Source organism: Homo sapiens, chromosome 7 (genome assembly GCF_000001405.40).
Source record: "Homo sapiens chromosome 7, GRCh38.p14 Primary Assembly".
Classification (NCBI taxonomy): domain Eukaryota; kingdom Metazoa; phylum Chordata; class Mammalia; order Primates; family Hominidae; genus Homo; species Homo sapiens.
Window position 1 is genome coordinate 20326567 of NC_000007.14, and position 24341 is coordinate 20350907.

Sequence of the window (24341 nt, forward strand, 5' to 3'; positions counted from 1 at the left end):
TGTCATTCTGTTACCCAGGCTGGAGTACAGTGATGTAATTTCAGCTCATCGCAACCTCCACCTCCAGGGTTTAAGCAATTCTCATGCCTCAGCCTCTCACATAGCTGGGGCTACATGTGTGTGCCACCATGCCAGGCTAATTTTACATTTTTAGTAGAGACGGGTTTTGCCATGTTGGCCAGGCTGGTCTCGAACTCCTGACCTCAGGTGATTCTCCTGCCTTGGCCTCCCAAAGTGCTGGGATTACAGGTGTGAGCCACCACACCCAGCCAATAGTTTCCTTTTTTACTTAGAACAGCCATAATCTGACTCTTTACTTGAAACTAGAAGTCATCACAATATGAGATAATTGAGGAGAATCAGAGCTCTGATTTCTGCCTGCTCATGAATTCCCTTGAAAAAGTGAGGTTGGTTTCTTTGCCAGTCTTTGTCTCAGTTTCCACATTTGTAAAATGGGGCTAGCTCTGTAGCATGCTTCGAGGAAAATTAATCTGTGAGATGTTCTCTCATACAGGTTTCTTCCTTTGGAGAATCTAATGGCATGCTGCTCTATTGAGTTTCCGGAAATTCCTCTAGTAAGGGATTTAATTTGACTTTAATTCAGCATTTCCCAAGCTTAATCATGGAAGTCTTGTTTCAGAAAACATTAATATCTCACAGATTGAGTCATCCATAAACTATCTTGGCAAGAGACACTGGCTCCAGCAGTTCATTTTTCTTTGAATTTGCACCTGACACTGATCTCTGTTATTAAACACTCATGAGGCCTTTAAGGAGTCTCTGTATTAACCCATTAAAGTAGGAAGTTCTTAAACTTCAGAGCATATAAAAACCATTTGAGGACCTTGGTATAATGCAGATTGCTGAGCACCATACAAGATCTACTAATTCAGAATCTCCTGGAATAGAGACAAGGAATTAGAACTCAGAATTACTCTATGGGGGATTGTGTTGTATGCAGTCTTCAGTCTACAGTATGAGAAACACTGTCTTATGTAACAATTCAGTGAAAAATACCTTCAAGCAATTTATGTACTTTATCATTAGAAGAAGCTAGAGGTCATAGTCACAATAATATATCTCACTGGTCTGACCATTAATCATCTTCTGAGATGTCTCAGGCAAGCTTATAGATAACTTGTGAATACCCACCCAAAACGTACTGAATGGCTCTGATCCCAACTTCAAAAAGATGTAACATTAAAATTCAAATGTGTCTGTAGGTGCCACTATGAGATCAATAATTTGGGCACATCTAGTTAAAGTGTGAATAGCCACAGCTGTATGTGGTGTCTTACACCTATAATCCCAGCTACACAGAAGGCTGAGGTGGGAGGATAGCTTGAGTTCAAACTTGAACCAGGAGTTCAAGGCCAGTTTGGGCAACATAGTGAGATAGCAAGATTCCATTTCTTAAAAAACAGTCTGAGTGTCTCCCTCACTCCTGCTACCTATCTATAGCTTATTCATTCTCACCATAAACTCACTTAGTGAGAAATCAAGGTTAAAGGAGTAGGGAAGAAATTTAAGTAATTTAATTTTATGACTTTTTAGTAACTCAGCTCAAAGACTCTAATGATAGGAAGCCTGGAATGAATAACTAAAATGTTATTTTTAGACTATCTGTGAATTTCATTTCCTCTCATTACCACAAATGATGAAAAATTAGCTGTCAGAAATTTCAAAGCAATATAGCAGAACATGATGGAAAAACAAATTAATCAAGTCACCATCTTCCGAAACATTTTTCCTTTATTAGAATTCTTCAGGTAATATGACGAAGATAACAATACTGCATTTCTTTAAAATATGCTGTACATTTCCTCATAGGAAAAAGGGTGAGTTATGGTGACCAGTGACATTAACTGGAAACAAGCAAACTTTTGGTTCCTGGGCCACTAGTTGTATTTACTTTAAGAAAACCCTAAAGATGATTTGCAGTCTTTCAGAGAGTTTACTTTTATGTTTACAGCCCAAAATGTGCAGATAACTTGTTTGTAAATAACTGGCAGGGGTCACAGTGTCACATCTAGGAGATTTCATTTTATTTTATTTCGACAACCAGAGTTACAGCCTCTTTACAACTGAGAAGTGGTAATAAATGGTATTGTGCTTATTCTTCAACAACTCCATAGCACTGGCACCTGACATATATTTGCATGAATTTCATGTAACAAAATGTAGAAATCTTTCTTTCTAAAGGGCTTCAAAATTTCCCGAAACAGACTTCTGAACTTCATTTTATTCCTCTTGCTACATGGTTGTTCTGGATTAGTATATATATCAACACCTAAAAACAGAGTTACAAAAATTAGTGCATACCTCATCAATTTCATAAAGTTACATCCTTTCTTGTTTGCATACATTTATATTTTATTTATTACTGTAACTGCCACTTACAACCCAGCAACAAAGAGTTGTATTTTAGAATATTATGGAATGGTGATATGATAGACACTTTAAAGTGTATTGACATGTCCTTATGGGAATTAGGGATTTAATTTTTTTTTTTTTTGATTGAAGCACTGCATGTCTCAAGGGTGGCTGCATTCAGTAGGTCTGTGACATAACCCCTGGAAAATACCCAGGCTGCCCAATGGAAGAGTCACTAATCAGATATTGAATATGATATTTTTGTGTTCAAATTTTCAAGTCCTCACACCCATCCTAACTAATTTTTAGGCCTTTCCTTTAAGACAACCAAAAAACAAAACTATAACTGTTCAAACTTGGAACTAAGGAAAGGAAATAAATATTAAAGCGGAGCTGGATTTATTTCTATTTATTTAGAGTACATCACCTCCAGTAGAATTATGTTGCTAAGGTTGGGATCACGGCTTTGGTCTCGCGAAGGGACCTGCTTTGCAGATCCAGGGCTCGTTTAATTTTCCAGCTGGGTTCCTGCTTTGCTTAACTAATCCTGTGCACCCCGTTGTGCGGTCCACACCTGAAAGGGGGAGTTTCGATGTTGTGGTTTATTAACCAGGTACTTTCCATTCACTCAGTCAACAGAAAGAAAGAGAGAGACCGCGCCTCCTACTTTTTTTTTTTTTTTTTTTTTAACTACAAATAAGGAGACGGAAACTATTAAATAAGAAGGGGGGAAACTCCCGCATATTTCACCTTGACCTGGCTGGACTGGTCTGCTGCCTCTAAGAGGCGGGTGTTGTATTAAAATGAGAGGTCAAACTCCTCGAATGGGAATCGCTCCTGCCCCTAGAGGGAAAAGAGAACCATCACCGTGTTAAACTGGAAACACTGCCTTGTTTCCAATGCGGGGGACTGAGTTCCCTCCCTCGACTTAGCGTGGTAATGACAGGACCCGAGGAGGCGCGCTGCTTCCGGGCAGTTGCCCAGCATAACACCCGCACCCTACTTGCACCTAAATTTCTGAGCTGCAAGCAGGCAGAAGTGCCTTCCACTTTCTCTCCTTAGCTCCCCTCTCCCCGCTTTGCTGCTGTCTGTAACTTTTTGTTCCGTTTACTGGGAAGGTGACGCTTAAGATCAAAAGACCCACTGTAACTTGCAAAAGCCCAGAGCCACCACCAGACGCTGGGGAAAAACAGGGCTGTCCAGTCCAGGGTTAAGGTTTTGAGCAGAGAAGGAGCAGCGAGAAATCTCGGCCAGTCGCTCCGGGAACAGCCCCTGCAGACTGGTCCAACTCTCCAAAGGCTAGGGACACCGGGGCAGCCTTGTGGTGGGGTAGAGGACGAGCTCCTAACTGCAAGCAAAGTGCTGAGTAGAGGGCGTTGGGGGCAGGGGAGGTCCCTTGACTCCACTTTGTATGCAGCAGCTGCGGGGCAGTGAGTATCTCCGAACAAAGCGGCGAGCAGCGCGGGGGTGAGAGATTGGGGTTTGCTCGCAGCTGCCGCTGGCGCTGAGCGAGTCTCCCACCACCCCCGCGAGCGTTGGGGTGCAAGGATTCGGGGGAGGAGGGAGAAGGGAACGAGGCGTGCCATTCCTGTTGCGCGGCTACGCTTCAGGAGTTCTTGTGAACGATGGGAATGGCAACTATCAGAGCCAAGGGGGAAAAGAAAGAGCTGGAGTGAGCAAAACAAAGAGCGAGTGTGGGCCGCGGTGACTTCATGCCTCACCAATGTCCCGCCCACGCTGCTCCGAGCTGTTACTGCTGCTCCTGCCCGGGCTGCAGCCGCGCCTGCGGGCAGCCGAGGCGAGGCGCTCCGGTAGCGTGGGGAGGTTTCCTAGCAACTCTCTGCCCTGAGTGCACCCGGCTACCCGCAGGTCTGGAGCCCCCCGGGGGGCCAGAGCAGGACCACCCCTCTCCCGCCCATCGCCGGCCTCGCCTCTCTCGCATCCTAGCCGTGTGCACCCCAGAGCGCGCCAGCAACTCGGGCTCTGGACTGCGGGACGCCTGAGCCGCGCACTGAGGCGAAAAGGACAAGGGCACGCAGCCCCCGCCCCGCGAAGCCGGGCTCCGGCACCTCGCGGAACCTCCCCTCCTGCGCTCGCAGCCGCAGGCCCCACTCCCCGCCAGGGAGGGAGCGGCGATGCCTCGCTCTGTGCCTGCGGGTGTCGGCGGGTGCTTCTAGGGCGCTCCCAGAGCCGCCTCCCCCTGTTGCTGGCATCCCGAGCTTCCTCCCTTGCCAGCCAGGACGCTGCCGACTTGTCTTTGCCCGCTGCTCCGCAGACGGGGCTGCAAAGCTGCAACTAATGGTGTTGGCCTCCCTGCCCACCTGTGGAAGCAACTGCGCTGATTGATGCGCCACAGACTTTTTTCCCCTCGACCTCGCCGGCGTCCCCTCCCACAGATCCAGCATCACCCAGTGAATGTACATTAGGGTGGTTTCCCCCCCAGCTTCGGGCTTTGTTTGGGTTTGATTGTGTTTGGCTCTTCGCTAAGCTGATTTATGCAGCAGAAGCCCCACCGGCTGGAGAGAAACAAAAGCTCTTTTCTTTGTCCCGGAGCAGGCTGCGGAGCCCTTGCAGAGCCCTCTCTCCAGTCGCCGCCGGGGCCCTTGGCCGTCGAAGGAGGTGCTTCTCGCGGAGACCGCGGGACCCGCCGTGCCGAGCCGGGAGGGCCGCAGGGGCCCTGAGATGCCGAGCGGTGCCCGGGCCCGCTTACCTGCACCGCTTGCTCCGAGCCGCGGGGTCCGCCTGCTAGGCCTGCGGAAAACGTCCTAGCGACACTCGGCCCGCGGGCCCCGAGGTGCGCCCGGGAGGCGCGAGCCCGCGTCCGGAAGGCAGTCAGGCGGCGGGCGCGGGGCGGGCTGTTTTGCATTATGTGCGGCTCGGCCCTGGCTTTTTTTACCGCTGCATTTGTCTGCCTGCAAAACGACCGGCGAGGTCCCGCCTCGTTCCTCTGGGCAGCCTGGGTGTTTTCACTTGTTCTTGGACTGGGCCAAGGTGGTAAGTTGTTTTGTTTTGTTTTGTTTTCTTCTCTTCCCCAAAGGTCTTGGGCTGGCACGAAGAGCTGCCCGGCCAGAGCATCCCGGCCAGGTAAGTTGCGGTCATCAGAGAACTTCAAGGGGGCGGGTGCGGGGCAGCGTCCTCCAGCACAGATGGCCTAGAGGCCAGGTGTCAAGCATTTCTGCCCTGGAGCGACAGCAAGGACTAATTATCAGAGGAGACACTCTGTGTTACTCCTAGGTGTTGAGGAAGCCCTAATAGAAAGGAATTTTGGAAAAGAGGGTGTCCTGTTTACAGAAGTCATTTAGGGGCCCTGGTCCATTCTTAAGGGCATCGTCTGTACACAATGTTCTCCCTATCTTTCTAACATTTGGGTCCACTAAGGACTAACTTGCCTTTAACTCGAGGCTGTAGATAAGTTGGTTATAATGGGAGTAGTCTTCAATTTTTGAGTCCAGAAAAAGACAGCATACAAGTTTCTGCTATCATTAGTGCTCAATCTGAATGAATTACCCACACTGGAGGGATATTAATGCTTTAAGTCATCATCCTTTCGGCTTAAAAAAAAAAAATACTATCTAATTGATCCCTCACTGAGATCAATCTCTGAGACAGAGAAGCAGAAAGAACTCTGAACCAGGATTAACAGCTTTCTGTCCAGGCAAACCATTTGTGTAAGAGCTACCTTAATGTGGAGAGGTTAACTCTTTACGAAATGCATTGTCCTCATCTGTAAAACGAGGTTTATTAATAATACCTGCCTTCTCTAAATCACAAAGGAAAGTTCAAGTCAAATAGCATATGAGAAGGTGTTTTAGGACTTTTGATTTATGAAACAAAATCAAATGTAAGGTGGTATACCAGATTGGATTGTTGGAAAATTACACAACTAAGTAATAGGACGAATCATGAGTTTAGGATGAGTTCTTAATGGTTTTCAATATAGGCCCAACATTTATTTTTGCTAATGCAGTGACTCTTGTCATACTTTCTTTTTTTTTTTTTTTAATTTCACTTTTTCTCTGTTTGGTCACCAAGTCCTTAAATTATATTAGAGCCTTTCTCTGACCTCTTGGGCTCAAGGAGAGTTTAATTAATAGTTGTAATTGTTTTGTAGGTTAAAATTTACTCCTATACTTTAAAGTGTCAAGGTTTTGCCTGAAGCTAATTAAAACAGTCAAATCATAACCTTATAAGTAGGTTTTATATATATAGATATAGAGATATATGGAAACATCCAGCTATCTTTAGGAAATTGTTGCATATACAGTTTTCTAATATTTGTTTCAGGGAGATTTGCTCAGTTATCTGAAATGGAGAAATTAGAGTAAATCTCTTTATCTTGTGGTTATTTTTTGGCTTGTTTGTTGATTTCAAAATAGTGAAAAGGCAAAGGAAAAAGTAACATTCATTATCAGTTATCTCTTAAATGGAAGAAACATGCATTTGTTGCAGCAAATTTTCCGCTAAGCATAATTTCATCCTGTTTCAATAAGTAATAAAGTGCTTTTCTAGATTTAGTAAACACACATACACACTAGTAAAATGACCAAAATTTGTGTTAACACAGTATATTTTGTTCCCAACGTACAGGCAAAGGAAAAAGTCCTACTTGCCTCTAAAATTTACTATTTAAAGTACATTTTTAAAAACCATTAACTGTGCTTATAAACATTAGTCAGGCTCTTGTGAAAAAGCATTGCATTTCTACCCAGTGTCTAAAACTGATTTGAAGGAAATATTATGAATGGGCCTACTTGCACCTGCAGACCTGAAAAGGGAATGCTTATCTGAAATCAGAACAAGGCATCCTTTTCCCAGTCTCTGTCAATATACAAAGGTTTCTGATGTATACTGATTTGCATGGCAGTTAAAAACATGCAAAAAATGTAAATTATAGCCAGTATAACTCAGAAAATTAGAGATCAGCATAAACTGCTGTACTTTTGTGATATAGCTACAAGTCTCAAATTATATGTCTTTACAGTGCAAATTAGATGCTTAAAGCAGAATAGAAATTTAGGTATCAGTTACAATGGAAATCTTGTTTCCTTGCTCAGTAGTTTACACCAGGAGAATGTTGAGGGCAATAAAGCCATACAAAAGAGACCAGAAGCTGCATAAGACCAGCATAACTTTGGGTTTAATTTTTAAAGCAGAATTTATAGGTCTCGAACATATAGTGGACTTTTAATAACAAATATATAGTGAGCAGTGGGGGATGTTATTAATCAAATCCAAAGATTTCTGATGTAGCAAAAATTATAGCAGTTTGTTTTTTAACTGTCTCTGGTGAAGATTACCCACAGCTAGAGAAATAATAGCACTGTAAAATGGTCAATAAATAACCAGAAAAACATAAAGTATATCTAGTGGTTAATATTTGAAGAGTTAATGTAGCAACATTGTTTCCACATTTACTTATTTTAAAAGATTAAGAACTTTCATTACCTAAATTTTTATATAGCAATATAAGTGTAACAAATTTCAGATATCACAGTTTCTTTTAAAAAAGCGGTAACTATTATTGCAATCAAATTTCACCTTCTGTGTATTGCAATGAAATTTCACCTTCTGTTTATTCAAGTATCAATTATTTATTATTTTCAACAACAATCAACTAGATTAACATTATTTTGTGACCATATCATTACTTCCCCTCAAAGCGTTGCATAGCATAAGTGTTCCCAGAATTATTTATGCTTACCTAAAGTGATCGGATATTTAAAAGAACCAAGGTATCATTAACAAAAAATTCAGCCTTCTAAATTATTTGCATAATAAGCTCCCAAATTAATTCTATCTTGAAGCAATGGAGACACTTTCTGATCAATTAAAAATCATACATGTTTGCCCTCTAAACTGACAGCAAAGTAGCTGATATGCTTTGGAAAATTCCTGTGCCCCAAAATAACTTCTTCTCTTGTTACCAAATTATCTGAAATCTCACTACTTAATGGATTCTTTTTGGTTAACCATGGTATTAACCCTATGATTTTTTAAAGTTTTTAACATGGTATAATGGAAATTTTCAAATGCATACAGAATTAGAGAGAATGGTATAAGGGACCACTATATACTCATCACCCAGCTTCATTAACCATCAACTCAAAGCCAACTTCTTTCATCTGTGCTCCTGCTGGTACCCAATTCACCCCCTTCTCCCAACTAAATATTTTGAAAGAAATTTTTCATATCATTTTATTTTAAAATATTTCAGTAAATAAAAATACTACTGGAGGAGGAACACACTGTAACTAATCTTAAAGCATGAATTTTTTTAAAAACTGAAACTTAGGGCAACAAGAATGTTCACAATTTTTAAGGGAAGCAATTGCAAAAGAGAAGGACACGAGGAATGGGAAAGACACAGTTTCAACCATTTACTTTTCAATAGTTCTATTATAGTTCCATTAAAAATATTTTTATTTTGAAAGTATGGATATGTAATAGCTTTTTGATACGCATGTATATGAACAGAGAAAAACAACATGAGTAAATCTGCTTCCCGTGACAAATGTTAATTGTTTTATTCCAATGGAATCACAGCAGGTATACCTTGTAAAGTTTCAGTTTCAAGGATCTGCCTGCCCTTGCATGATTAGTTTTTCTCCTATCTACTGTATCATTTAAAGCAATATCCATATATGTGGCAAAACCTTTTTATCTCCTATTTTTTCTCTCCTTTTGCTATAAGTCCTTGAAAGAGTTGTCCGTAACTCCTCTCTCCGATTCTTCTCCTCACCTTCTCTTTGAATCCATTGTGAGCAGGCTTTCTTTATCACCTCTGCAGTCCACTCTCTTAAGATCAGGGTAACCTCCACATTGCCAGATCTGATGGCTAATTCTTAATCTCCATCCTGCTTGATGTATCATCTGTTGGTGACTTGACACTGTTGACCTTGCCCTCCTTGGAAACAGTTTTGTTGGCTTCTTGGACCCACACTCTCTTGGTTTAAGCTCCTTCTCCATCTCTGATGTTGATTCTTCCTCATTTCTTAACCTCTAAATGTAGTAGTGGCTCAGGACCCACTCCTAAGGACTTCTCTGATCCAGTCTTGGTTTTCTTTTTTTTTTTTTTTTTTTTTTTGAGACGGAGTCTTGCTCTGTCGCCCAGGCTGGAGTGCAGTGGTGCGATCTCGGCCCACTGCAAGCTTCGCCTCCTGGGTTCACACCATTCTCCTGCCTCAGCCTACTGAGTAGCTGAGACTACAGGCACCCGCCACCACGCCCGGCTAATTTTTTGTATTTTTAGTAGAGAGGGCGTTTCACTGTGTTAGCCAGGATCGTCTTGATCTCCTGACCTCGTGATCTGCTCGCCTCGGCCTCCCAAAGTGCTGGGCTTACAGGCGTGAGCCACCACACCCGGCCCAGTCTTGTGTCTTAAATACCATTTCCACATTGACACCTCCAGAATATTTATCTCTAAACCTGACCTCCAGAAGGTGCAGCAAATTGTGTAAACCATGTCTCCACTACACGCCTAAAGGCAAAGACCCTAACGCATTCAAAACCAAACTCCATTTTCTTGTCCAGTCTTCATAATCACACTGTGAGAGAGGTCCCTGTTTTTGAAACAAATAAACAGGAGCAGAGGAGATAAGTAACTTGCCCAATGTCACCTATCTAGTAAGTAGGAGAGATGGGATTTGAACATCGTAGAGAAAGCTTGAATTATGCTTCATAATATGAACTTCCTAATCAGTCTTCATCATTTCAAACCTTTGTCCACATGTTCCTTTCTACTCAGAACTTTCCCCTAGCTCCCCATTGTCTTCAGGCTCCTCATACAACTTCCTCCCAGCTTTGCTATGGACACACCCACCTGTGACCTCCTTGAGGGAAGAAGCTGCCTGTATTTTTGTGTGTCCAATGCTTGGTACACAGTAGGTCTTCACAAAGTATCTGGAGTAAATGACCCCATAGATAACTTGAGGATAATAGTGAGCAATCTAAAATTGGGCAGCTAAGCAAATTCTCCCTAATCATTTCTAAGCCTCACTAGAATTTGAACTTAGAGAAATAAAATTTTCTTTTAAAAGTGGGTTACACCATAAAGGACACTTGTTTCTGTTTTCCCAGACCATACCAGAAAGCAGTCTCTTGACCTTCTGGACAAATCATTAGCAAAGATTAAAAGCTGAGACTTAGTACTCTTTAATCTTATTTTTCAAAGTCTGTCTTGTTTTCAAACTTTCTGTGACAATGATTTCTATTGTTGATAATAAAATATAAAAAGTAATCCTAATTCTTTACCCTTGGTATCAACTTTAAAATTGATTTTACAATTTTACAAAATTGTAATTAGATTACAAAAACTGGAATTTGTAGTCATTTTCAACTAAATACTTCAAAAATTACAAAAACTGGAATTTATAGTCATTTTCAACTAAATACTTAAAAAATTAATAAAAAATCCAAGCTATTCTAACTCCTTTAATGACTATTCATTCAGACTTTCTTAAAGCACATACAGCTTTATGACAGGCACTATACTGAGTTCTGGAGTTAAAAAATAACAACGATTAAGTTTTGTGTATTATTTACTGTAGGCCAGGCACCCTCCTGGACACATTATTTGAAAATATAATATATCCTTTAATGCTTACAACCCTGTTAGTTATATACTGTTATTCCCATTGTATAGGTAAGCAAACTAATTCAAGAGGCATTGTATAACTTCTTCCAGATCTCTTAACTAATAAATAATGGTCCCAGAATTCCGATCTGTGTGGTTTGAGTCAGCATTCTGAATCATAATTATAGACATATAGATTGCTTTTCAAAGGTGAGAGGAGTCCCTACCTTGAACCTTGGAAGGTTCAGCTCTAGCTGTCCTCAGGCCATTGACCTCAACCATGGGCAGGGAGTCCATGGGGCTTGCTCAAGTAAAGTCTGTCACCCCCTCTAGATCATCTCCAGAATTCTTAGCCTAAACAGCCTCAGACTACTTTTATGGCCTGCCTTCTGGGGGTAAACTGAGTCACCCCTGTGCCAAATCCTAGGTGAAGATGGCCAAGGACACTGATGCAGGAGAGGTAAACAGAGCTTGGACATGCAAGCTGAAGTGTCCATGCAGGTAAACAACAGGCTACCTGTGCTGCAGAATAAATTTAGAGGTGGGAGAGAAGAGGGGAAGATAATGGCTGGAGAGGCAACGCTTCACACACTGCCCAGTTCCTAACTAGAAATCTGGAGGTGAATATTCCAAATTCAGACCTAGCCTTCCAGGTCATTATGCATATATATTTATCAAGGAAGGAAGATAGAACTTATTTTACCTATGGGTTTCTTTGCCTGGTTTGTAGCTGTTAAATATGTAGTCTGTTATGCTCACTGCTATTTGTGTTCTTGCTGTTGGCCCTGAAACAGTTAGGGGCAGACTTGTCTACTAGTTTAAATATTACTGGGGGCCGGTTGCAGTGGCTAACAACTGTAATCCCATCACTTTGGGAGGCTGAGGTGGGAGGAACACTTGATGTCAGGAGTTCGAGACCAGCCTGGCCAACATGGAGTAAAGACCAGCCCGTCTTTACTAAAAATACAAAAATTAGCGGGGCATGGCAGTGCGCACCTGTAGTCCCAGCTACTTGACAGGCTGAGGCACAAGAATTGCTAGATCTCAGGAGGTTGCAGTGAGCCAAGATCATGCCACAGCACTCCAGGCCTGGGCAACAGAGCAAGATTGCATCTCAAAAATAGATAAATAAATAATAAACAAATAAATATTATTGAGCCGGGGAGACAAAGAAAGCACCAGAGACCATTGCATAAGGTAGTCTGGTAGTCTTGACTACCTCATGTCAAAGTGTTTTTATATTTTAATAACTAAATCCCTTTTGGTAATCTTTGAGATGTGTACAGATTATACAAAATTTTACTCTCTTGCAAATCATGTTACAATGAGAGTCAAATGTATGCATAGTCTTAATTTAGTTTTACTTATTTCCCTCTATTATTTTAAAAAATATCTTAGAAGGCTGGCCACAGTGGCTCACACCTGTAATCCCAGCACTTTTGGAGGCAGAGGTGGGTGGATCACGAGGTCAGGAGTTCGAGACCAGCCTGGTGAACAGGGTGAAACCCTGTCTCTACTAAAAATACAAAAATTAGCTGGATGTGGTTGCACACACCTACAGTCCCAGCTACTCAGGAGGCTGGGGCAAGAGAATCATTTGAACCCATGAGATGGAGGTTGCAGTGAGCCGAGATCGTGCCATTGCTCTCCAGCCTGGCGACAGAGCGAGACTCCATCTCGAAAAAAAAAAAAAAAAACAACTTAGGAAAGAACATTTTACTGACATGAATGACCTAATTTGGTCAAATTATTCAGTTGGCATATATTTGATATTTAATATCTATAAGTGAATGACTATATAGAAAAAGCAGTGCCATACTATATTCATGGAGTAAAAGGACTATTTTTCGACTTAAAGTGAATCTTAATGTGACCTTATTTCCTCTTTCGCAGTAAGTAAATTATTTGATTTACACACCAAAAAAGTGTATTGAAAGTCAGAATGATTTCCATTGGGATTTTATAATTTAATTAAAACAGACCCACCTTTTAACAAAAGTGCTAAGATCAATTCTTGCTAGGAAACTACTAATATTAAACAGATATATTTAAATTATCTTCCTGCAGTTATTGAAAAAAGTCCTTAACTAATATTAGTTTAGGAAACAAAAATAAGATTATTAACTTAAAATTGCATTGTTAAAGTGTTCTTATCAGATATATACTTTTAAGATGATTTTTAAAGATGCTTCTATTTTGAGTGCTATTATCCAAAGTACTAAAAGTTCATTTTAGGCCAGGCGCGGTGGCTCACATCTGTAATCTCAGCACTTTGGGAGGCCAAGGTGGGTGGATCACCTGAAGTCAGGAGTTCAAGACCAGCCTGGCCAATATGGTGAAACCCTGTCTCTACTAAAAATACAAAAATTAGCCGGGCATGGTGGCAGACACCTGTAATCCCAGCTACTTGGGAGGCTGAGGCAGGAGAATCGCCTGAACCCGGGAGGCGGAGGTTGCAGTGAGCCGAGATTGTGCCACTGCACTCCAGTCTGGGAGAGAAAAAGCGAGACTTTGTCTAAAATAAAATAAAATATAAAAGTTTGTTTTATAAACAGCATATAGGGTCTTATAAAGTGGCCTTTCATGCTGACCTCATCAATGAGCCAACCATCACTGCTATAATGGTTTTAGACGTGCGCTATCTCTGCCTGGTGTTTTATTGATGTTTTGCTTTGTTGTAATCAAATAATACTGTTACATTTGTTAAGGACAGAATCTGTTGCTATTCCAGATAAATATTGGTATCGTTTGTTTATTCTAGAGGATTGCCAAAAAATTCACAGTCTCGTGATAGTACAGGGTAAGAAAGCAGAGTAGCTGTCAAGGGCTAGTTCAAGTCAAAGCCTATGGAAGAGACCGAGTTTGGAAGTGGAGAGAAGGGCTGGTGATGAAGACAGGAGGATGAAAAACTAGAAATATTCCAGCTCTGAAGAACTGTACCAAATATGTCATATTAGGTATGTGAGATGTGTGGTGGATTTGGGCCAGGAATGTTTTGGTGTTTTCCATGGTTTTGGACTCAACTTCCTTTTAGGATAAAGCGGGTTGAAATTTCAAGATCTGCCGATAGTAAATGAAGCCACAGTTAAAAGTACTGCTGTTTCATGTGTACATGTGGTATCAGGGATCTTTCCTTGGAATTGAACCACAAACAGCTTCCCAGGTAAAGGCATTTTTTTTTCCTGATTTTAGTAAGGACCATATATTTAGGATTATTTCTTAGTAACTGTTACAGGTACTAGGTAGGGAAGGGGGCTGGGTGAAAAGCTTCATCCTTATGGAATGAGGGATTACCACTATGCTGTAAAGGATCATTAGAATATTATGAGGTCAAACAAAGAAAATAATTAAAAGGAAAATTCAAAATTCTACAAGGACTGGATTGACAGGATTTATATTAAGGAGTACCAAATAGGGAATGTCTTTTCTAATTGCCTGCTGGAGAGGTGCAAAGAGGCCAGGCTGGATAGGCTTAGTCATGCAAGGTATTCATTGACTGCAATAGAACAAAGGATGCAAAGAAGTTTTGGGGTGGCAAGGACTTGCTGTAGAACTGGCTGTTCTAGTTGGAAACAAAGACACTATTGTAGCAGAACTGCATTGTTGGCAGCAAAATGACTGGCTGGTCTCTTTCTTAGTACAAATCATACCTCCCAAGGTATTGCTCCATTGTGTTTTTGTGCATTTGGTTTGGATTTTTATGGGGAATTGAAGACAAGTGGATCATAAAGTGCAAAATAAAATGCTCTAGAAATGACAGATGGGGCACAATTTCCAAGAAAATTCATCTAGACAGTGGCAACACTGAGAAAAAAAAGAAACATTCAAGAAGGGAGTTACAGTTTCAGACATCCTCAGTTTTGGTTAAAAAGGTCCCTTTTGATGAGTGTGTCAGTCACTACCAGCTAGAACAAGGGCCCTAAAGTGAGGGCCAACGTATATAATCAGAGAGCCTGACGTCAGGTTGATACTGAAAATATGAGAACTAAATGGCATTACTACCAGTCTTTAGTTTAGAAGATATAGCATGTTTGATGCCTTGTAAAGAAGGTATCCAAGGCCACATGATACTTTGTAACATCTGATGGGACTGTGGTCACATGGGAGAAGGGAAGGGGGCTCTTGAGCACGTGCCTGTGGCCCACTGAAGACAGCATAGCCAGCTGGAGATTGGGCCCACCCACCCTTTTAGGGCTGTCCGGGGCTGACAGTTGGCTACTTGGGGGTCAGCATAGCACTGATGCCAGAACTCACTTGCCTGAGGTTGGATTATCTGGTTATAGACTTGTCTGGGCAGAGATTGACTTTTGGGCATTATGAAAAGTCAGACATCAGGGCTTTTTGGACAAATTCTGCCTCTTAGGTATATGTTTGAGTTAAAAAAAAAAAAAAAGATGTGTTACTTCTGACTGCTTTCTACTGGTGGGGTAGAAAAGTTGGGTCAGCCAGAACGATCATTGGATGTTACACTCCTCCTTCTCACAGGGCAAACTTCTCAGATACTGCCCAGGTGGTATGTGATATTTTCTCCTATACTGCGTAATTATCAATTCCTTTGGGATTAATCTTAATGAAAAAAAGCCCACATGCAGAACCAGAGTATTCTTGGCCCTTTGAACAAACTAGATGCTTCTAGCATGATATGAAAGAACATCAAGCTCCAGAGGACGTAAGAATTGGCCTCCAAGTTGTATAATATAAAGCTGCCCTAGTGACAGAGGACCCACTAACTGGTCAGTCCACTTGAGGATCTTTGTTAGGGCTCTGTATTGACAATCTAGGAACTAAATACCCTGAAAGTCCCAAGAAATATAGAATTACCTCAACGTTTTGGAGCTTACCTCTCCAGCCTAAGTGGCACTTTTACACATGAATTTCCTAAGGAGGAATTTGGATTCCCAAAAACATTATCCTTAAAAGTGCAAACTCACCTTTCTAGGCCTCTAAGGATGCTGTACAGTAAGTGGCCCAGGATGGTCTAAATGAGTTGGTTACACAAGACCAGGTTGTTGGATGTTGCCTAGATATACAGTAAACTCTTCCATCCAAAAGATCTCAAGAGGTGCCACATAAACACTGGGAGACTGGCTGGAAATTACAGAATCTGAGAGGGTTTTGCCAGTAACTTCTATACCCATGGCACATTTGGCAAAAGATTTTTCATTCATTTTTTTTTTTTTGGAATTATTGGTGTGCAAAAGTGAAAGGTGGTGGGAATCTGGGCACTTTAGGTTGTTCAAGACCAAAGGAATCAATGGTCACAGATATTCACACTGCATTTGAGAGCACAGAAACCTAGAAACACAAAGTTTGGAGTTTGGTTGTCATTTGTTCGCAAGTACGGCAGAGCCTTCCAGGCCAGAAGAAACAGATTAACTTAGCTGTCTCTGCATAATCAATGGATATGCAGTGTGGGTCTGACAAGGTGAAGAGACATCCTATTGCCTCAGTCATGGTGAGGGTGTAATTCCTGTTTTTCCCATTCAAATATAAATTGGTTGTATATTTTGAAAGGCAGCTTGCAGATCTTCAGTAGACACGGCAGAGTTGAACCTGAAAGGGGTTAAATGTTAGAAGACAAAAGAGATCTGAGGTCCCAGGAAAAGCTAAGTAGGAAACAGAGGGGCTCAGATTTCAAAGTTTAGAAATGGGATGTTGGATATTGGCAGACAATTTCATGTCTCTGAACAGCTTTGCTGCCGTTTGGCCAGTTTTTATTGATCCGGCTGCCTGGGCTGACTCTCAGTAGTAACCTAACAATACTGTGTGGTTTTTAACAGATAATGTATATTTGGGAACCAGACAGAATAAAGATGCAATCATGTAATAAAATGGCCCAGGAAATTCCTTAAGGAAGTTTTCTCTGGCCCTCCCACTCCCCCTTGAGGTGACATCGTCCTGTTATCTGCTGCCTGCTGTACCCTGCCTGTTCCATTTCATAGCACTCTTGTTAAGTTCTGTCTTATGTCAGGTTTTGCTGTTATTCTACAACAGGAATACAAGCAGGTGCCCTATCCCTAAAACCCTGCACAATGCCATGGCTTAATTGCAAGTATTAAGTAATTACAAAAAAAAATTCAGGATGGAGAAGCCATCAAAATTATTACAATCTCAAAATTCCTTAAGAAGCGGAGTTTTCTGCTCTCCACTCCCAGATGATAATGTCCTGTCTCTTTTGACTAAATATTCACCCATTCTCTTCCTCTAATCAAGTAGCTTTTGATAATACTAACAGAGCTACCTATGAGCAGGTAAAAAATAGTTATAGGAGAATCCTGGTCACCTAGAGTGCCTATGAAAAGTGATGTTTTAATTAATTAAATTCTATGGCCATTTATATTCTGACTCTTGCTTTTGAACATCTTTTTAATATGTGTGTGTACACTTTCCTTGCTTGGTGAGTACATCATTTAAACTTTCTTTGGTATTTGAAAAAGGCCTTGCAGTTATCCTTTGATCACATTTGCAAATTTTCACCATTACTATTTAATCAATAAATGAATTCATTGCTTGAGCACCTGCTCAGTGCATTTCACATTGGACTAGTTGCTATGGGGACAGAGAGGAAGTAAGGTATCAAGGAGATGGGGTGGCTGAGCCTGAGGAACTGTGTGGGCATACAATACGAGATAGTGCTGTGGGGCAGAGATGGGTGGTTTGGGCCATTAGTGCTGTAGAGCTTTAGGCTTCTGATTCAGACAGGAAATATGTCAAATGTGTTCTGATGCAAGACAGAACATTGCCGTCTTTTCTAAAGATTGATACTTAGTTTTAATTTTTCTCATTTTTTTAGGAGGGAATTAAAATTTAGAGCCCTGATTAACTGAAGGTTCCAGCTATTTAGATTTTCAATACATATGGTCCACCTTTTCTAGGCATAGTGTATTTTGCGAGATGGTCTTAAAATGCATCAGCATAAAGCAAAATCCAGGCTGTGTCTCCAATAGTACATATAATTAGTTGCATTGTTCTTAGCTATTAGAAGAAACTTTTAAATGTGTGCGTAAAGACTGGAAGAACAGAAGTGTCAGTATTAATTTACTAAATGAGTAGAGTGAGGACATCACAATGGTGAAATTCAGGGACAACCTGTAGGAAACAATAGTGCTTTGTGTGTGTGCAGGGAGCAGTGCAGAATGGCCAGAGGAGCAAGTGCAGTAGCAGGACAAAGCTTCCCCAGGGAGACGCACCCTGAGCTGAGTTCGAGAGTTGACCAAGAGAAGGGACAGCATTGGGAGAAAGTTACCTGAATGTCACAGAAGTAAACAGAAAGAGAGAGAGCACATACGATGTTTTGGGCAATGCAGGGGAGACACCCATTCATCCTCTCCTTCAGTGAATACATACTGAACTCTTACACTGTGCCTGGTATTGCTGTAAGCCTCGGGGATATGGCAGGGAACCAAACAAAAAGATCTGCTCTCATGGAGCTTTCGTTCTAATGGAGAGAGACAAGACATTTGACAAATTAAAGAAACAGAATGTATAGCACACCAGACAGCACTAAGTATCTAGCACCTTCTGTAGAGAGAAAGAAACCCAGATGGGTAGTCAAGAATACTGGAGAAGGAGGTATGATCTTAAGTAGGATAATTAGGAAGGTCTCACTGAGAAGGTGCTGAGCCAATTCCCAGGGCCTCAGGGAGGGAAATATGAACAATATATCATCTGCCTCAATGATATATAACTTTCTAGGAGGATATTGACATTGTAATCCAATAAATTCTATAATTTTAAAATCTAAGATGTGCTAATTATTTAATAAATATTTTTCAACAAGTGTGTGGAAAGTACCATTCAAAGTATGAAAACATTAGGAAACTAAAGGACAAAAGTTCTTGTCCTCATAAGTCTTATATTTTGGAGGAGGACAGACAAAATAAAAAAAAACATGGTTATACATAATTATCTAGTGTGTTCAAAGGTGGTAAGTGCTATGGGGAAAAGTGGAGCAGGGTTGGGGGAAGACAGAGTTGCCATTTCAAGTAGATTAGATGGGGTAAGCCTCATGAAAAAAGACCAGTGTTTGAGCCAAGCCCTCAAGACAGTAAGAGAGTTAGCCTTGTGGATAACTGGAGAAAGGGTAGAGAGATGAGAGGCTATGAAGCAATGTGAGAAATTTTTAATGCATAGCAGGATCGAAGGACTGGTAGTGGCAGATTGTTGGTATCTGGAGCCCAGGCAGAGTGAATCAGCTTGTAAGACAAGAGGTGGTGGTCAGACAGGGTGATATGTGAAACTGGAATTGTAGAGAAGTTGCAGTTACTGGTAATTACAAGGTCTAAATTTCTTAACATGGAAGCAAAGTAGCTAAATCAAGGTGGAGGACAAAATAATTAGAGGAGAAGAGAATAAGGAGCTGATGCATCTTGTATTGCAAAGATGATGTGTGTATATACAAAAATTGTCAGGAATTGACATAGGAGTATTGTTGGAGAAAATTATATCAAGCAAGGAGGCAACATTTTCTAAAAACGAGAAAGCATCTCCCTGTGGTTGGTAAATGTCAGTGAATGCCTGCAACAATTCAGGATGGTGGGTGACATAATGTAAGTTACAAGTGTCAAAGCTGGGGGTGGGATGATTAGGGGATGAGAGAGGGAGAAGTGCCTGTGAGTAGCAGTGAGGACTCAGGAAGACACTTATACATCTCCAAGCTCAAGGCTGTTAGGATTCTGGGAGAAACATCAGCGATTACTCATGAGGTCAGGGGAAGACAAGTTCTCAGGGGAGAGCCAGGTTTCTGTTCAAGCAAGACAAGAGAACATTCAGATAAGGGACTGGGATATGGGCAGTCCTTCTGGAAATGGACTATGAATTTCAGAGGGCACAGGGGATGGGTTTCTGGAGTTGTAAAGGAATAGGAGATAAGGAGAAAAGAGGGCTGTGCAGAGCCTTCTAGGGATTAGAATGTGTTGGGGGAATAAGGGTGCATCTGGGAGTCTTGGGCTTCTTGTAGAAACTGGTGCAATAAACAGGGATAAGTGAGATTAGTCTTTGGGATCTCAAGGTAGATAGTGGTGATGATACTGTCAGTGGCTGAGGGGCAAGGGGAGGTTCTGAGACTTGCTCTTAATTCTTAGGGAAGGAAGAGACAAGGTCTGAGGAAGCCTGACTTAGTTCTGAAGTGAGGCGTTGACTCTACCCCGTTTCCTGCCAAAAGCAACGTGGACTTTCTCTGGGTGTCTTAAGACACTCTTGACTCCAGATGATTAAAGTGATTGCCTGAGAAGTATATAACACCTGACGATTATACCTGAAGGGGGCTCCACAGGCAGAGAGGAGGCATGTACATTGACCATGACATAGGACTTTAGGAGAAAAGCAAAGGAGAGCACCTTGGAGTTAATGGCAGGTAGATTTGTTAGAACTTTATGCTATGGTCTAAATGTTTTTGCTTCTCCAAAATTCATGTGTTGAAATCTAATCATCAATGTAATGGCATTAAAGGTGGGGCCTTTGGAAAATGACTAGGTCATGAAGATAGGACCCTGGTGAATTGTATTAGTGCACTTATGAAAAAGGCCTGTGGGAACTCGTCTGTCCCTTCTGCCATATGAAGACACAGCAAGAAGGTGCCACCTATGAGGAAGGCTCCCTCGCCATACCACCACATCTGTTGCTGCCTTTGTCTTGGACTTGCCGGATTCCAAAACTGCGAGAAATAAATTCTGTTATTTGTAAATTACCCAATCTAAGGTATTTTGTTATGGCAGCCTGAATGGACTGAGATACTTTACTACTCAGGTGGTGGAAATAATTCCAGGCGTTTTGTTTTGTTTTGACTTGATTGTTTAGTAGGGTAGTAATGTGATCACTGTATCAGCAAAAGAAACTGGCAACAATGTATGTGGTGATTTTTAGTGGTAAATGGTGTTTGTAAGAGATTCTGAGAACGTTGTTACATTAAAGCAAATGATCGATAAGGAAGGCCTCAACTAGGATGGATCCATGGGAATGGAAATAGGGAGTGAGAAATACTAAAGACAGTAAATTAAAAGCAAAAAGTCTTGGTGACTGACAGGTTGTTGAGGCTGTGGTAGAGAGAGGAGTCAAGGTTGACCACAAAGATTTAAATCAGAATAGATGGGAAAATAATGTAATTAATGGAATACATCATTCAAGTCAGGAAGAGGAACATAATGTTTGAGACTCGAAGATTTTGAAGTTGTGGCAGGAATCTGAGTGGGTTGCCAAGCAGATTGTTGAAAGTTCAAGACAGAAGCTTGGGTGAGAGTTTGGAACTGAAGGTACCAATTTGGTGGTCATGTTCAAGGAAGTGAGGCTTGGAATCTTGTTAGTTCATAGTCATCAAGCTGTAGAGTTGAGAGAGCAATGTGAAAATAGCCAAAGACATAACAAGGGGAGTTGCTTGAGAATGAGAGAAGTGATAGAGTGCCCACTCAGTGTTGAAAGACAGGACATTTAAACATTGCTAAGTGCTAGTTGCTAAATGTAATTAAGAAATATTATTTGCCTTTGAGTGAGCAATTAACTAGAAAGCTAGAGGAAATTATCTTGATAATGAGGAGAGGCATTTTTCTAATAAGAGAACAAAGACAATTTTGACTTGAAAAGAAGGAATATTATTTAGATCTTCTCTATAATATAATGGTAAAGTTAGGGTCATATCTTAAGTGAGAGGACTTGGTATGAGTTCTTATGGATTTGATAAGAAAGAATTAAAACAGTGAAAGTGAAAACATATGATGGAAAGTCAACAAGAAATTAATGAAAGCAGGGTCTAGGAACTAGATGAGGTGAGAAAGAAATTTGGAGGGAACCCAATTCTTAATAGGTTTCTGGCAGTGCCCCATAAGGCAGCCTCAGATAATCAGATGTTGCTTAGGATGCATCACCCCATTTGTGCCTGACCTCCTGTTTACTTTCAACTCCATGTTTTAGAGTTCTTGAATCAGTAGCCTGCCTTCTGTCTCAGCCTCTGGCTCCTCTTGAATTTGTTATTTATTCTGCTTCTCTTTGGTTTTTCATATCTAAGAACTGTTTTATTGTTCCGTTATCCAGTGACTCCTCTATAGCTCATGAGAATTTCCTGCTGCAGCTCCTGGCCCCAGAGATTCCTAATGGCTCTGTCCATGGTGGAGGTAGTGAGGTGTTGGGGGTGACTTGGGTAAGGCAGAATAACCTTGAGCAAGGTGATGAATACATTGCAAATTTAGCCGTTTCTGGTGCTGATAACAAAGATGGGGGAGCATATAAATAAGAGCTGTGACCTTTGAAAGAATAGAGATTGATAAGTGTTGCAAGATGGAAGCTGGGGAGAATCTCATAAGTAGCCAGTGGGAACAAGGAGAATATGTTTGCAAAGCACTGTTGGAACATTTCCCCAAGGAATGATGAACTCTGCATAAAACTAACTTTTGATGAAGGAGAAACAGTAGCTGGACCATTTGGGGAAATATGGAGAAGATGGAATAAGAATTTTATAGGGCAATATGGACTATAGTTCATAACACAGTACCAATATAAAATTTTCTGAATTTACCACTTCTACTGTGATATATTTTTTCAAATTTCTACCGATGATATTAAACTGAACGAATGTTAATTGAAAATTATAAGATATTAAAGTATTACGGAAGATTATCTATCCTATAAGATACAGTTAACACATTTTATAATAATTCAGAGTTCCTTTTTGTCTGAGTCTCCAAATAAAGTGAATTTTAGAAAAGACAAATATTTAGTGTCATATTTGGCATTGAGGATAGAAGAGGATTTACTTTAGAGAACAGGATATAAAGTATAATATTGATGTATAGTTCAAGCTATATTAGTATTACTATTGATCATAATATTAGGTTGGTGCTGAAGTAATTGCGGTTTTTGACATTACTTTCAATGGCCAAAACCGCAATTACTTTAGCACCAACCTAATAGTACTAATTACTAAGATACTTAAACTTACATTGGTATCATTACCTACTCCATTCAATTTCTTAGGCTGCCGAGAGTTGGCAAGAAATTGCAAGCAGAATATAATAAATAAGTTTTGAATTTGAAAAGATTTTTTATTATCTCACAAACAAGTTCAATCCATACAAAAAAGTATTAAAATAAATTAATCTGAATATAAAAGGATATGTAAATCAAATGCCGTATATGCCGTATAGGGATAAACAACTTTAACCACTATCTAATCTGTATTAAACAACAACAACAACAACAAAATAAAAACATAAGATGTCACTGGATTTTCTTCTAAAAATCATAGTTTAATGTTTTGCTATACACTGGCGGGAAAGAAATATATTCCTTCATTGTGCACTGGTTGTCTTTTTCTAACAAATATTCCATCTCAGTTAATTTACAGTGCTAACTGGAAATAAACTTTATCGATATAATGTACATCAATAAACTGTATTTATTTAAAATGTCAGTGGATGAGTTTTGCCAGATGTATAGACCTCTGAAGCTACGTACCACTACAGTCAACGTACAGAACCCTTCCACCCACCAAAGATTTGCTCATGCCTCTTTGCTGACAGTGCCAAAACACAAAACAGGGAATAATCAGTCTGCATTATTGGTAACTGTTTTATTGAATGTATAGGGATTTTGGTGCCCCTTTTTTAAAAAACAAAAACAAAAACAATTCCCTGTATTGAAGTTGTTGTTGTTGTTGTTGTTTTGAGACGGAGTTTCACTCTTGTCGCCCAGGCTGGAGTGCAATGGCATGATCTCGGCTCACTGCAACCTCCACCTCTCAGGTTGAAGCGATTCTCCTGCCTCAGCCTCCTGAGTAGCTGAGATTACAGGTGCCCGCCACCATGTCCGGCTAATTTTTGTATTTTTAGTAGAGACGGGGTTTTGCCATGTTGGTCAGGCTGGTCTTGAACTCCTGACCTCAGGTGATCTGCCCGCCTCTGCCTCCCAAAGTGCTGGGATTACAGGCATGAGCCACTGTGCCCAGCCTTTGGTGGCCTTTTAAAATAAATCTTTCCTATTATAAACTGTATCTTAAAACAGTCCCATAAACTCACAGAACTGTACATGCTATAAAGCAAATGTTCTCCACCAATCATGTCATTGTAAGTTGCACTCTACTTTTCAAACTGTTTTCACAGCTCAGTGGAGGAACACAGCACACAATGAGGGGAACATTTTTCCTACATCATCAACGAGGAAGCAAAGCCTCAGCAGTTAGTTTATGAAGCCGAGGCCAGCGAATAGGCAGGGTTAGGACAAGAACAAGTTGCCTTCTCCCCTGTTCCAGATTTGGCTTTCAAGACAGAGCTAGAAATTCACAAATGGAAACAGCAACTCCGAACACCACTTCCTATGCTACTGCCTAATTAGCATGCAGCTCAGAGCTGTCCCCTGGCAAAAGCCTGGAGAAACATGGTTGTAAAAGGACAGCTCTCCCCTCTGCTGA

At 41.0% G+C, this 24341-nt stretch overlaps 1 protein-coding gene and 1 long non-coding RNA gene across 14 annotated transcripts in view, besides 5 other annotated features; one reads left to right on the plus strand and one right to left on the minus strand.

The window, feature by feature from the left end:
• Positions 1–1734: 1734 nt before the first annotated feature.
• On the minus strand, positions 1735–5196 carry ITGB8-AS1 (ITGB8 antisense RNA 1). 2 transcript variants are annotated; one of them, NR_110119.1, is made up of 4 exons: positions 5084–5196; positions 3124–3216; positions 2801–2947; positions 1735–2290 (listed from the first exon to the last, which is right to left on the minus strand). It is a non-coding gene; the product is annotated as an ITGB8 antisense RNA 1 (long non-coding RNA). The 2 variants fall into 2 exon arrangements; NR_110120.1 differs by lacking the exon at positions 3124–3216.
• Positions 2955–3567: an enhancer, noted in NCBI's record as "OCT4-NANOG-H3K27ac hESC enhancer chr7:20369144-20369756 (GRCh37/hg19 assembly coordinates)". NCBI's record gives its function as "activates a minimal SCP1, AML or CMV promoter by ChIP-STARR-seq in primed H9 embryonic stem cells {active_cell/tissue: H9 hESC(primed)}" and the evidence as "EXISTENCE:reporter gene assay evidence [ECO:0000049][PMID:30033119]".
• Positions 3200–24341, plus strand: part of ITGB8 (integrin subunit beta 8) — an 85989-nt gene continuing 64847 nt past the window's right edge. For 2 of the 12 annotated variants that reach the window (XM_047420343.1, XM_017012183.2), the window contains exons 1-2: positions 4126–4242; positions 5411–5457. Coding sequence is in view for 5 of the 12 variants with exons in the window: in XM_017012179.2 (XP_016867668.1) it covers positions 5241–5367 (127 nt within the window). In the remaining 7 variants the exon portion in view is untranslated. Of the gene's footprint in view, positions 4046–4125; positions 4243–4333; positions 5368–5410; positions 5458–13706; positions 13903–24341 lie in introns of those variants that run through there. The other 10 variants (XM_017012180.2, NM_002214.3, XM_047420342.1 and 7 more) reach the window with 9 other exon arrangements.
• Positions 3655–3724: an enhancer, noted in NCBI's record as "active region_25693". NCBI's record gives its function as "activates an Ori minimal core promoter by ATAC-STARR-seq in GM12878 lymphoblastoid cells {active_cell/tissue: GM12878}" and the evidence as "EXISTENCE:reporter gene assay evidence [ECO:0000049][PMID:35858748]".
• Positions 3825–4114: an enhancer, noted in NCBI's record as "active region_25694". NCBI's record gives its function as "activates an Ori minimal core promoter by ATAC-STARR-seq in GM12878 lymphoblastoid cells {active_cell/tissue: GM12878}" and the evidence as "EXISTENCE:reporter gene assay evidence [ECO:0000049][PMID:35858748]".
• Positions 4195–4584: a silencer, noted in NCBI's record as "silent region_17990". NCBI's record gives its function as "represses an Ori minimal core promoter by ATAC-STARR-seq in GM12878 lymphoblastoid cells {active_cell/tissue: GM12878}" and the evidence as "EXISTENCE:reporter gene assay evidence [ECO:0000049][PMID:35858748]".
• Positions 5055–5294: a silencer, noted in NCBI's record as "silent region_17991". NCBI's record gives its function as "represses an Ori minimal core promoter by ATAC-STARR-seq in GM12878 lymphoblastoid cells {active_cell/tissue: GM12878}" and the evidence as "EXISTENCE:reporter gene assay evidence [ECO:0000049][PMID:35858748]".